This window comes from Homo sapiens, chromosome X (assembly GCF_000001405.40).
Source record: "Homo sapiens chromosome X, GRCh38.p14 Primary Assembly".
Lineage (NCBI taxonomy): Eukaryota > Metazoa > Chordata > Mammalia > Primates > Hominidae > Homo > Homo sapiens.
In genome coordinates, this window is record NC_000023.11 from 8,790,352 (window position 1) to 8,802,912 (window position 12,561).

The 12,561-nt window shown below is 43.9% G+C and overlaps 1 protein-coding gene across 2 annotated transcripts; it reads right to left on the minus strand.

Moving 5' to 3' along the window:
- FAM9A (family with sequence similarity 9 member A) lies at window positions 444-11,032 on the minus strand. 2 transcript variants are annotated; one of them, NM_174951.3, is made up of 10 exons: window positions 10,960-11,032; window positions 9,730-9,858; window positions 8,615-8,743; window positions 8,008-8,128; window positions 7,799-7,830; window positions 5,917-6,031; window positions 4,727-5,069; window positions 3,307-3,405; window positions 929-1,028; window positions 444-821 (listed from the first exon to the last, which is right to left on the minus strand). In NM_174951.3, the coding sequence occupies exons 2-9, from the start codon at window positions 9,818-9,820 to the stop codon at window positions 960-962; spliced, it is 999 nt and encodes a 332-aa protein (NP_777611.1). In that variant the 5' UTR covers window positions 9,821-9,858; window positions 10,960-11,032; the 3' UTR covers window positions 444-821; window positions 929-959. The 2 variants fall into 2 exon arrangements, with proteins under 2 accessions (NP_777611.1, NP_001164657.1); NM_001171186.1 differs by having other exon boundaries at window positions 10,889-10,986.

Sequence of the window (12,561 nt, forward strand, 5' to 3'; positions counted from 1 at the left end):
GGTATTTTTAATAATTTTGATATGGCCATAGAGTATATCTATTTTTTGAAGTCCTACTTTCATTGGAATTGCCTCTTTATCCTAATGAGTAAATACAAAAGAATGCATAGATAGGATAGCTTTTGTCATTGTCTTCTTGTTTTCTGAGACAGAGTCTTGCTCTTGTCGCCCAGGCTGGAGTGCAGTGGCACAATCTTGGCTCACTGCAACCTCCGACTCCCGGGTTCAAGTGATTCTCCTGCCTCAGCCCCCTGAGTAGCTGGGACTACAGGTGCGTGCCACCATGCCTGGCTAATTTTTGTATTTTTAGTAAAGATGGGGTTTCACCATGTTGGCCAGGCTGGTCTCAAACTCCTGACCTCAAGTGATCCACCCGCCTCGGCCTCCCAAAGTGCTGGAATTACAGGCATGAGCCACCGCACCGGGCAGGCTTGGTGTCTTCTTTTATTAGAGAAAAATGTACTTTTCTATGCCCGTGCTTTCTACGTTTTTGAAACTGATACAGATCCACAGAGGTGAACTGAAATCTAAATTATCTTTAATGTTAAAATTTAATTGACCATGTACATAACTGTGCAATCCCTGCCTTCTCACAGAAGTGTCTAGGATTCATTCAACAGATCATAGAAACGAGGTCTGGCATTTAACAGACAAGTGACAGAGGAGCTATACCGATTTATACAACAATTATCAAAACACTGTCATGTAGTTTACTGTAGCTCAAGTTGTGCTCGTATCATATAACATAGGTTCAAGTTCTTTCTTCAGTCATCAGAATAACAGAGGTTGAAGAGACAATGAAGTGCCAACTCTTCCAAAAGCTGTTTCAAAAAAAAATTTAAGTAACTGTGATACACATTTCTGCAAATAAAATATTCCAGTGCTTACATCAATCCTGAGTTTTTAAACTTAAATATGCACTACTTACAGTTCTGACACGATTCTTTTTAAAAACACGGCTAGTTATCAAGTTCACTTTCTTCACTGGAAGAAATGATGCAATAATTGTCTTTAGTGTCCTTGGCAGCCTAAAAGAAAAAGTCTAGTTCACTGACAAACCACCACTTTACATCTCACGTTTTAAACAGGGTTAATCAGATGTCAAAAGGAAACAGCTTTTAATATTCAAAGGATGCTGGTTATTTATTTCAATTTGAAAAAAACTGTAACCAATACATGGAGCTCCAAATACCCACTTAAATTTTTTAATGCCAGATTTCAGTGAAATATTATTTTAGCAGGTCCAATTGTCATGTACTTTGCTTGAATAAAATGGGTTGATGAGCATCTTAAGGTCAAGATGGAGCAAAGACAGAAAAAGTCAGGCAGGCTTACCATGAAATATATTTTTTCAGCAGGTAGTGACCCATGTATTATCAGCAATAGTCTACGGAAAGTGGTTTCCATTGAAGGGATAAAATGGTTGGTGATATGACCTCATCAAGTTAGAGAAAAATGTAACTATGTTTGAAATATATACTATTCCCTCAACAAATAGTTCAACAGTTCCTACTCCTGAAAATGGTGTATGTTAATGCTAAGGAAGATGTAAAAAATGTAAGCACAATCTCTTCCATAATCCTGTGACATGAGCAAATGCACAAATAAAAAAAATTAATACAAAAATTGTATAACTGCTATGGAAGGGCAACTCACTCAGACATGTAGCCAAAAATGGAGACGTATGTTGACTTAGTTGGCAAAAGGTTTAAATTGGTCTTAGTCAAAAAAAAATTTTTTTAAAGCATTGTGAGGGAAGAGCATGAGAAAAGCATAAGAGTAACAGTGAATTCCTTCAGGGAAAGCTGTCAACCTGGATAGGCAGGAGCAAAGACAGAGGGCGGCAAGCCTAAGAGGGGGTCATGTAAAGGGGAGAGTCTCTGAATATCTAAGAACTGAGACGGGGCATCACTGACAGGCTGGGAAGAGGGAAGGGCTAGGAAGCATTTTAGGAAGGGGAGGGTTTTAGGAAGATAATATTGCCGATCAATGAAGGATGGCTCAGAAGAGAAGAGAGAACTCAGAAAAGAGTTTAATAGTACAAGCAAGGAAGAATGAGGTCTTGAACTAGGGCAGCTGCGGTGGGAATTTTAAAAAAAGAAATTTAAGGGCCATTACAGAGGTAAAACTTGCCTCATGATAACTGCATGGGAAGGATAAGGGACTTAGAAGAGTCCAAGATGATAGCAAAGTTCCTACCCTAAGTGGTAACATGTAGCATTAACATTGACAGGAAAACTTCTAGTCTCATGTTCATACCAATTAATAAATGGTTTCTGGTGAACATTATAGCAACATTTTCTCTACTTGTGACTTCTATTTAAATAACTGTTTTGTGTATAGATCATTCTCAAGTTGCTTGAAAATTTTATTTTCAAACTCTTTTCTCAGTTTATTTAACACATCTCAGTTAGTGTAGAGGAGTGACATATGAACATGTCTTTTCACAAGGTTATTAAAAAGAATACCTTACCTCCCAGAAGGGAATTCCATTGTTACCTAAATAATGTACATCTACATGAAGAAGAGGTCATTGATGACAATTTGCTAATGTGCTATACGACAGCAGATAATTCACAATTCACAACGTGTTAATAATTTGCTGGCTTTCCCATTCTGTTATACATCTGAACCATCTCTTATGACTACAAATTGTCATGTAAAACCATTACTAGTCGCTGATAATTTTGAAAGTGAATATGCCATAAAACACTCCTGTATTACAGCAGGAAATAAAAGAGACACTCAGTAGTTACACTTGCCTACTTCCTATTTAACTAAAACTCTTGAAACAACACAAGTAAAAAAGACATCCAGAAAGGATTTATGGTCTTCCTGCCTTCCACCATAGATGTGTCATTGATGTCCTGAAAACTGAAAATAAAATCTTCATTAAAACCCATTTATGCCTAGTGTTCCATTATTGGAACGCTAAGCTTGTGGGAATCATGTATCTCCTACCGCTCAAGAACATAGCCAAGGTCTGTTTCTTCACACACAAAAAATGTGCAGCCTCCGGCATAAATGTGTCAATGCGTTAACAATATACACAAGATGTATATTTCCAGGTAAAATTTCCAATTTACCTTTTCCTGTTCTAAATAACTCCCACAAAACTATTCACGAATCCTAAAAATACATTTACCAGTTATGTTAAATTTGGAACAATACATTCAAAGTGAAAATGGTAAGTAATTTAAAATGCATAACCAAAATGTCTTTCCATACATTCGGAAACAAACAGACTTTCTTCTGTTATGCACGTGTTGTATTTTATAATGTATTATGTTACCAAATAGAACAGACCTTTAGTAATTGCTCAAGTAGCGGCTTCATCTCTCTCAGCCTCCAGCTCCTAACACCTGTAGGTTGTTGCCACCTCTTCTGTTTTTCTTGAAATGCTTTCTAGAAGCACAAAAAAATAGTGATGAAAATTGGGTAATTTTTAATACTTACAAAACATAATTCTGCATTAGCTTTATAGGAATACTCTTTAAATCTATACTTCTTAACACTTTCTTTTAAACAATGTTTATGACCAATTTTAAACAACTGTGTTCACCACCCATATGCTAAAATGATATAATAACCTTTTTCATCAGTGATTAAGGAATTTTCTTTCTTCTACATACATAATCAACACATATGTCTTAATTCTTGATTTTGAATGTAGAGTATTTGACGACCCTTCCTATAATTTGTTGACCACAGATGGGTAAGATATATACAGAAATTAACTAAGAAACATTCTTTCTTACTAAGATTTTAAACAGGTAATAAATCTTGGTCATTTCAGTATGCACACGGATGAACCTTCCAATAATGATTGCCTTTCTGCACCTTGACCTAATCTCCAACAACAGTGTTCTCCTCTCCTCTACGTGGCACTCACTTATACAGTCATCCCCTAGATTTTATCATTCCCAATGACTGCAACATCTACATAATATTAATAATAGCAATGATAAAGAGCAATCATGGGTCAGATCACATCCTGAAAAATTTAAATAAACCCATTACACAGGAACCTTTCAATCCTCCAAATAACTCTGACATAAGTTCTCTTACCGTGTCTCCTTTTGCAGATAAGGAAATTTCGGCACAGAGATAAATAATTTGCCCATGGTTCCCGAGCTAGCAATCGTCAAGCTGGAGTTGAATTACAAGCAGTGGGGCTGCAGTGTCCCAGCCCTTGACCACTGCACTCAGCTGTTTCTCCATCTTCCCAACATACAGCCACTACCTTCCTGCCACTGTAGGTCACTCACTTCAGTACTACAGCTCAGGAGTCTGTTGAGACCCGACACCCACTGAATGGAACACTTTTCACTGCCCATTGCCCACCCCCATGTGCTCAGGTAACTCAGTCCCAGCTGAAATTCCACAGCCAGTCATCATATCCCCATCCCTGCATCTATGCCCTGCCCAACTCTCCTTCTATCAACGTGCGCAGCTACACCCCAACCCAGGAAATTCCAACCCTACAGCTGCTTTTGCACAAATATGCCAACCGGGCTCACTTTAACTTCTTTATCGCTATGATGCTGACCTCAGTTGGACCCCTAATGCTGCGTGGCAATTATATTCCCCTAGTACATGAGTCCACTTATGGGCCCCCCTCTCTGGGCTCATGCTCTCTTCCTTCTTTGCTGGATTTCTGCATGAACTATTACTACCTGAGACATTGATACAATAGGTTAATCATAAAGCTAAGCCTGATACCAACAATTTGTTCTTCCTCTTCCTCTTCTTCTTCTTCCTCTTCCTCTTCTTCTGTTTCTTCTCCTTCTCCTCCTCCTCCTCCTTCTTCTCCTTCTTCTCCTCCTCCTTCTTCTTCTCCTTCTTCTTCCTCCTCTTCTTTCTCCTCCTCCTCCTCCTTCTCTTCCTCCTCTTCGTCTTCTACTACTATTACTTCTGCTGCTGCTGCTGCGGCTTCTGCTGCTGCTGCGGCTTCTGCTGCTGCTGCTGCGGCTTCTGCTTCTTCTGCTTCATCATCTTTCTGCTTCTCTGCGATGTATTCTTTAAGGACATTCAGCAACTTCCGAGTATGTCTATAATCACGTTTCTGCCTGTAACACATAATAAGTAATACGGTCATATGTCATAGAGAGATGAAAAATTAATCCTATTCAAACCAAAACTGACTTCACATAATTTATACTATAAAGTAGCAAGGGAGTAATAGCAGCTGAAATCTTCTTTTTGGGAAAAGGTGAAATGAGTTACTGTCATTCTGAAAGGATCCCTTCCTAACTGACTACTAGAGCAGCTATCTTACATTCTTTATGTGCTGAAAACAAAGGAGAGTTTACTGCACTATAAATTTCCCAGAAACAATAATTTTCTCTAACAGCAGTTTACTTTTCATTTCCTCAAACTAAATAACATATGGGTTCTCATAAGTAGGTTCAAGAATATCATAGCCATTCATCCTGTAAGATTTCCCAAAAGAAATACTTCACTTAACTCTTTCTCCACTTTGGCACAACAATGATTTTCTAAAAGGAATAGTGAAAACAATTTAACTAAAATAGATAACATATTTACAACATAAGGTTGTCCCTTTCCACATAACTTAATATTGTTAAGGATCTACAGACTAAACGTTGAAGACATTTATCTTATATGCAGCTGCCATATTTCTAGAAATGGATAAAAATTAATTTTACAGGAAGACTATTTTTATCTGGAAGGCAAAAAGAGGTCATCTTCATTGGCTTTCTAGATAATATGCCTCAATTCTGTTAAACTGAGGTTATAAAACAAAAGAAACTTACCTGCTTAGGGAACAATCAAGTAAAATATGTTGCTCCCTAGAGACGCCAATATGTACAGGACAGTTTTTGAAATTATTTGCACCAACAAATACAAAGAAATGATATAAATATCATTATGCAAAAAAGCCAACAATCATACCTTTTTAGTTGTTTTTTTTTCAAAGCACGTTCAATTGTGTTCTTGGTTTTCCTGTAAGCTGCTTTATCTATTTTTATCATTTCTCTTTTTGCAGCAAGGCCCTTTTTAATGTCAGCTAGATAGTAAATGAAAATGCATTAAAAGTTAATGTTGAAAAGTGGTTTCTTCGCATATATTGAAATCAACGTGAGATATGATGGTTCAGCAATATCGGAAGGACATTTACATTGTAAAATACAAAGATCATTTCAAAAAGCAAGATTTACTCACTTGTTTTCTGTAAAACCTTTTACGTATTAATATTAGTACTCTAATTCCAATTGGTATAACTGCAAATCACTTAATTTATGGATGATGAAAAAAAGCAAGTAATTTTCGATTTTTTAAATGTGCAGAAAGCGTTACAAACACAGACTCTAATTTCTACATTTATAAAATGTCCTGTAATTCAAAGGACATGTTTCCATGAAATACTGTCACAATTCATTATGTAAAACATACAGAAAAGTATCTTATTTAATAAGACCATCAAAAGGGTAGAAATAACTTAGTACACAATAAGAAGAGCATTTTTTAAGCAATCTGGTGATTGATGCTATTAACTGTATTTTAATAAAAGAAGCATCGTCCATGGGTATAAAAATTTAGGCTTAAGTAAAGAAATACATTCAAAAACACTTTTGAAATATTTTCTTGGAGCTTTTTATATGACATTTTTATCCACAGTGCTGTGTTTCAGAAAACTGTCCTACTGCAAGGAATGCTTTCCTAAACATGGTTTCACATCAGAGATCTACCATCAATTGCTAAAAATAGTTTTCAGCAATCATAAAAGATCTGCACCATAATACAAATATTTTTTACATTCTCCATCTATAATGCTCAGTTAGGTAGCTCACAAAACCAGCACTTACTCACCAAGCAGAGCAAAGCTTTCCAAATATACTGCTTGTATGAATTATCGCTAGAGAAGAGCTGAAAACTGAATTGAGCGTTTTAAAAATAAGAGTATTGTCTCCGCCGTCTCTACAGAAATTTTCTCAATTTTTTTTTGAAAATATGGTCCTATAACAGTCAGTGCAACTAACAGTTCACATGGCAATACAAAATTTATGAGTTTTTGGATCCAATTACATGTTTCTCACTGGGTAGAAAACTTGTCTTTCCTTTTCTAGTACACAGTTTATTACTGGAATAATAATAGAATATCATCATTTTAGATAATTCAATTTTCTCTTGTACTTTAAAGAAAACAAAATCAGAAAGCTGTGACAATAGAATAGCTAAATTAGGAACATAAAAACTCATATTAAAAACTCTTGAGTACATACGGACAGGAAGAGGGGAACAAAAGACACCTGGGCCTACTTGAGGTTGGAGGGTAGGAGGAGGGTGAGGATGAAAACCACCCATCAGGTGCTATGCTTATAACCTGGGTGATAAATAATCTGTATACCAAACCCCTGTGACACGCAATTATCTATATAACAAACCTGCACATGTACCCTCAAACCTAAAATAAAAGATAAAAAAACCTGATATATATACTTAATCTGTGTACACTAAAAGGAACCAATAGAGCTGTTTCTCCTCCAGTGTCCTCTAATATCCCCCAAATAATTAAATTTCCATGTGTATGAAAGAAAAGCCATCCCTCTCACTTCACCATTGTTAGAAGCATTCTCACATTCCACATCAACAATCCAAAAGGTAAGTATGAAAATTTATTAAACGCATTACATTAAATACATATGTTAAATGCTATATATGAGAAGAAGGCATGTTAAGACAGTCTCGTCGTCCACTAATTCATATAACCTACTATAACAGTTGTATGGTTGAAAATAATTTTCAAAGACTACGAATAGCTCCTAAAACATACCTGCAATATGTTCTAGCTTCATGGTATGAATCCTGTAAAAAAAGTTACATCAAAATTTTATCATAATGCTACACAAAATGCCATGTTTGTTGGGAAGATATGTCTTATGTGAAATGTTCCGCATAGAATAGAATAGTGATGACATGAACCAAAGCTGACTTTTCCTAAAAGACCCTATCCGACAGGCAAAAGTGACTTAAACACTTTACCCCGTGTGTTCATCTTTTTCAGCAAAAGGTTCTCTTTCCCCATGCTCATCAGTTACATCTTCCTCCCTTGTTTCTGTAAAAGGGTTTCTTTCCTCACATTCATCACGGACTGGATCCTTTCCTGCATTAAAATGTAAAAGACAAACCATTTTTAGAGGAAGACGCTGTTGTGGACATCTTTTGTAGAGAAACTTATTATTTGTGGACTTTTTTGGCTCTCTACCAATTAAAGCTTTAAAGCAGAGCTATGCATGGAATCACTGGGCTCCGGACCGTTTTACCGAGGCATTTTTGGAAGCCCTTCCGGTTCAAGTCCTAGTAAACAACGCTCACAAGTCAGACCCCTTGGATGTCAGGACCGCATCCATGGAGAAGAGCTGCTCTGCGAGCATCTGTAACCCTGCTATGAGGGGGAGCCTCCCACGGGAAGCCTAAGGCCCTCGATCCTGCTTTGAAAACCTGGGGCCTCTTGGCACATGCACAATGGACTCCAAAGCCACGAAGGGGCCAGGGGTCTCGGGCTGCCCATGTGCCTCCCGCGCAAAGAGCAGACAGACCGTCCTCTTGGGCGTGCACCTTCTTTTCTGGCCCCTTGGGCTGTGTTTACCTGTGTGCTTCTTCGCCGGGGCGGCCCTAACTTGAGCTTCCAACTGAGCTTTGGCAGCCTTCCTGCTGCGCTTCCTGCCCACGGGCTCCATGGTTGGCTGTCCTGGGAAGTTAGAGGCGATCCCTGAACCTGGTTGAGTGCAAAGTCAAACTAAGTAAGCTAAGGAAACAGGATATGTGAAAGGAGAGCCAACGGGATCTCGGATTCAAGAAAGGGTGGGGCTGGCCCACCCCGTGTATCCTGTGGGAGCAGGAGGGGATGGAGAAGATGCCAGTGTCCCCTCCTATCCTTCCTGGCCCGTCCAGCCCCTCCCTGGGGCTGGCTGCAGAACTCACAGCTGCCTCGCACACCTGAATGGCCCCTGCAGGATCCTTGCGGTGTCCCTGGGACAGAGCTCAGCCCTGCCCCTGTGTGCCCCAGAGACCTGCGTGGCCCGGAGGACCACGGGTGCCACAGGACCTCCCCAGCCATCTCTGGGAGAATGTCAGGGGCTGCACTGCCACTTGCCTGCCTGGATGCCCAGGTGACCCCTCGTGACCCCAGGTGTCCTGTCCTGACCGGCGGCCGGGCTGGAGGGACCCACTCGAACTGTCCCCCACAACACCCCTGCTTGTCGCCTCCCCACACACTCCGCCCCTCCTCCTCCCCTTCCCCCATCCCCTCACCCCACGAACCCCACACCCCTCCCCTCCCCTGCCCCCATCCCTGGCCCCACACCCGGCCCCTGCCTATCTGCCACTCCCCCGACCCTCCCCCCTCTGCCACCACCCCTCCCTTGCTCCCCTCTCCACCACCTCCATTCCCCCAAGCCCCCCTCCCCTGCCCCACCCCTCCCCACTGCACACATCCACAAGTCCCCGGGACAATCCCGGGCCCTGGGGATCACTCAGGTGTCTCCAGCTCCCTCCCTGCCCTGGCCCATCCCAGCCCACCCTCAGGGCCTCGCCCTGACCCAGGCCCCAGGCAACGATGCCAGGGCCATTTCCTGCTTTGAAAACCTGGGGCCTCTTAGCACGTGCATGGTGGACTCCAAAGCCACAAAGGGGCCAGGGGTCTCGGGCTGCCCATGTGCCCCCCGCGCAGAGAGCAAACAGACCATCTCCTTGGGCGTGCACCTTCTTTCGTGGCCCCCTGGGCGGCCGTAACTTGAGCTTCCAACTGAGCTTTGGCAGCCTTCCTGCTGCGCTTCCTGCCCACGGGCTCCATGGTTGGCTGTCCTGGGAAGTTAGAGGCGATCCCTGAACCTGGTTGAGTGCAAAGTCAAACTAAGTAAGCTAAGGAAACAGGATATGTGAAAGGAGAGCCAACGGGATCTCGGATTCAAGAAAGGGTGGGGCTGGCCCACCCCGTGTATCCTGTGGGAGCAGGAGGGGTCGGAGAAGATGCCAGTGTCCCCTCCTATCCTTCGTGGCCCGTCCAGCCCGTCCCTGGGGCTGGCTGCAGAACTCACAGCTGCCTCGCACACCTGAATGGCCCCTGCAGGATCCTTGCGGTGTCCCTGGGACAGAGTTCAGCCCTGCCCCTGTGTGCCCCAGAGACCTGCGTGGCCCGGAGGACCACGGGTGTCACAGGACCTCCCCAGCCATCTCTGGGGGAATGTCAGGGGCTGCACTGCCACTTGCCTGCCTGGATGCCCAGGTGACCCCTCGTGACCCCAAGTGTCCTGTCCTGACGGGCGGCCGGGCTGGAGGGACCCACTCGAACTGTCCCCCACAACACCCCTGCTTGTCGCCTCCCCACACACTCCGCCCCTCCTCCTCCCCTTCCCCCATCCCCTCACCCCACGAACCCCACACCCCTCCCCTCCCCTGCCCCCATCCCTGGCCCCACACCCGGCCCCTGCCTGTCTGCCACTTCCCCGACCCTCCACCCTCTGCCACCACCCCTCCCTTGCTCCCCTCTCCACCCCCTCCATTCCCCCAAGCCCCCCTCCCCTGCCCCACCCCTACCCACTGCACACATGCACAAGTCCCGGGGACACTCCTGGGCCCTGGGGATCACTCAGGTGTCTCCAGCTCCCTCCCTGCCCTGGCCCATCCCAGCCCACCCTCAGGGCCTCGCCCTGACCCAGGCCCCAGGCAACGATGCCAGGGCCATTTCCTGCTTTGAAAACCTGGGGCCTCTTAGCACGTGCATGGTGGACTCCAAAGCCAAGAAGGGGCCAGGGGTCTCGGGCTGCCCGTGTGCAGGTCAGCCGGCCGCTCAGCGCTTCACACCCTGGTTGCGAGAGGGCAGCATGCTCGACTTCCTGCCTCCCTACCGCGAGCGCTTCACCTGCGCTTCACACCCTGGTTGCGAGAGGGCCGCATGCTCGACTTCCTGCCTCCCCACCGCGAGCGCTTCACCTGAGGGACCCCTGATGCCGCTTCCTCACAGAACCTGCAGGCACTGGCACCACGACGCTCTCTTAGAAAAATGGGTCCTCAGTTCTCGCGAGAGCAGCTGCCCTGGCTATCCACGCTCCTCTCTGATTGGTCAGCTAAGTGCGCATGCGCATGCGGGTGAAGGACCTTGGGGGCCACGACCCCTGCTGACACGCCTTCCCTCTTTCCGTAAGGGACCACCCATATTTGCTGTGGACTGGGGTGGGTGGTGGTTCTTTGGGGCCTCTGTCCCCAGAAGTTTTCAGCGCCTCCTCCTGGGGAGGGATGCAAGGACTCGGGATGGAAGCCAAGTGGACGGGGCCTAGGACCTCGCCCCCGAGCTCCTTCCAGCCACCCCTGCCCCTTTGGCTAGAATGGCCTTCGCCTTGCAGGTGGAGCCCAGGCTCCCTCCCATGCCCTGTGTGTTTCCACCATGTCCAGCTGCACCCTTTTTATCAATGGATTGTGCTTTTATGTTTTTTGCTTGCTTGTTTGTTTGTTTTGGAGACGGAGTCTCTCTCTGTCGCCCAGGCTGGAGTGCAGTGGCAAGATCTTGGCTCACTGCAACCTCCACCTCTCGGGTTCAAGCGATTCTCCCACCTCAGCCTCCCAAGGAGCTGGGATTACAGGTGCGTGCCACCATTCTCGGCTAATTTTTGTATTTTTAGTAGAGACGGGGTTTCGTCATGTTGGCCAGGCTGGTCTCGAAGTCCTGACATCAAAGTGATCCACCTGCCTCAGCCTCCCAAAGTGCTGGGATTACAGGCATGAGCCACTGAGCCCATACCCAAAGTCGTGTCTTTAAAGGCATCAACTGTATGATGTATAGTTGTTTCCAAGAAATGATGACTAAAAGGTACTGATTGAGAAACTTTTGTCATTTCTTTCTTCAAAAAAAGTCAACTAGTTTCCTGCTAGTTCTTGCCACTTAAGTTAGCCATAGAAATCCCAGGAGTGACCATCAGGTTGTCAAAGGCCTTTCTTCTTGTTGCTGTAAGGTTGACCTGCTGATAGTAACAGATACACCCCACTCTCGGTTATTTCAGGATCAAGTAGATCCATTGGCCATGGAGTGATGGTCTTTTCAAGTCAGGCTATTTTGAGAGGTAATAAAATATTCGTGTACTTTAATTTATTTCCTTTTGTACTTGCTTGTTTTAAAATACAGTTCTGCACATAAATATTTTTGACAAGATGAACAATATAGATCTATTTTGTCACATTACAAAACAAACAAATTATTAAGATAAGTCAACAATGACTGTAAGTAGAACATTGTATTTCGTTATTAATTTTCATTAGATTTCCAAAACATTTTTCTGTATAACATATTCAGATATTTTGAATTCAGCAATGCAGTCAGATGTTTCATGTAAGTGGCTGGGTGCAGTGGCTCATGCCTGTAATCTCAGCACCTTGGGAGGCTGAGACGGGCAGATCACTGGAGGCCAGGAGTTCGAGACCACCCTGGCCAACATGGTGAAACCCCGTCTCTACCAAAATTACAAAAAAAACTGGGTGGCACCACGCCTGTAATCCCAGATACTTGGGTGGCTGAGGCGCGAGAATCGTTTGAACCCAGGA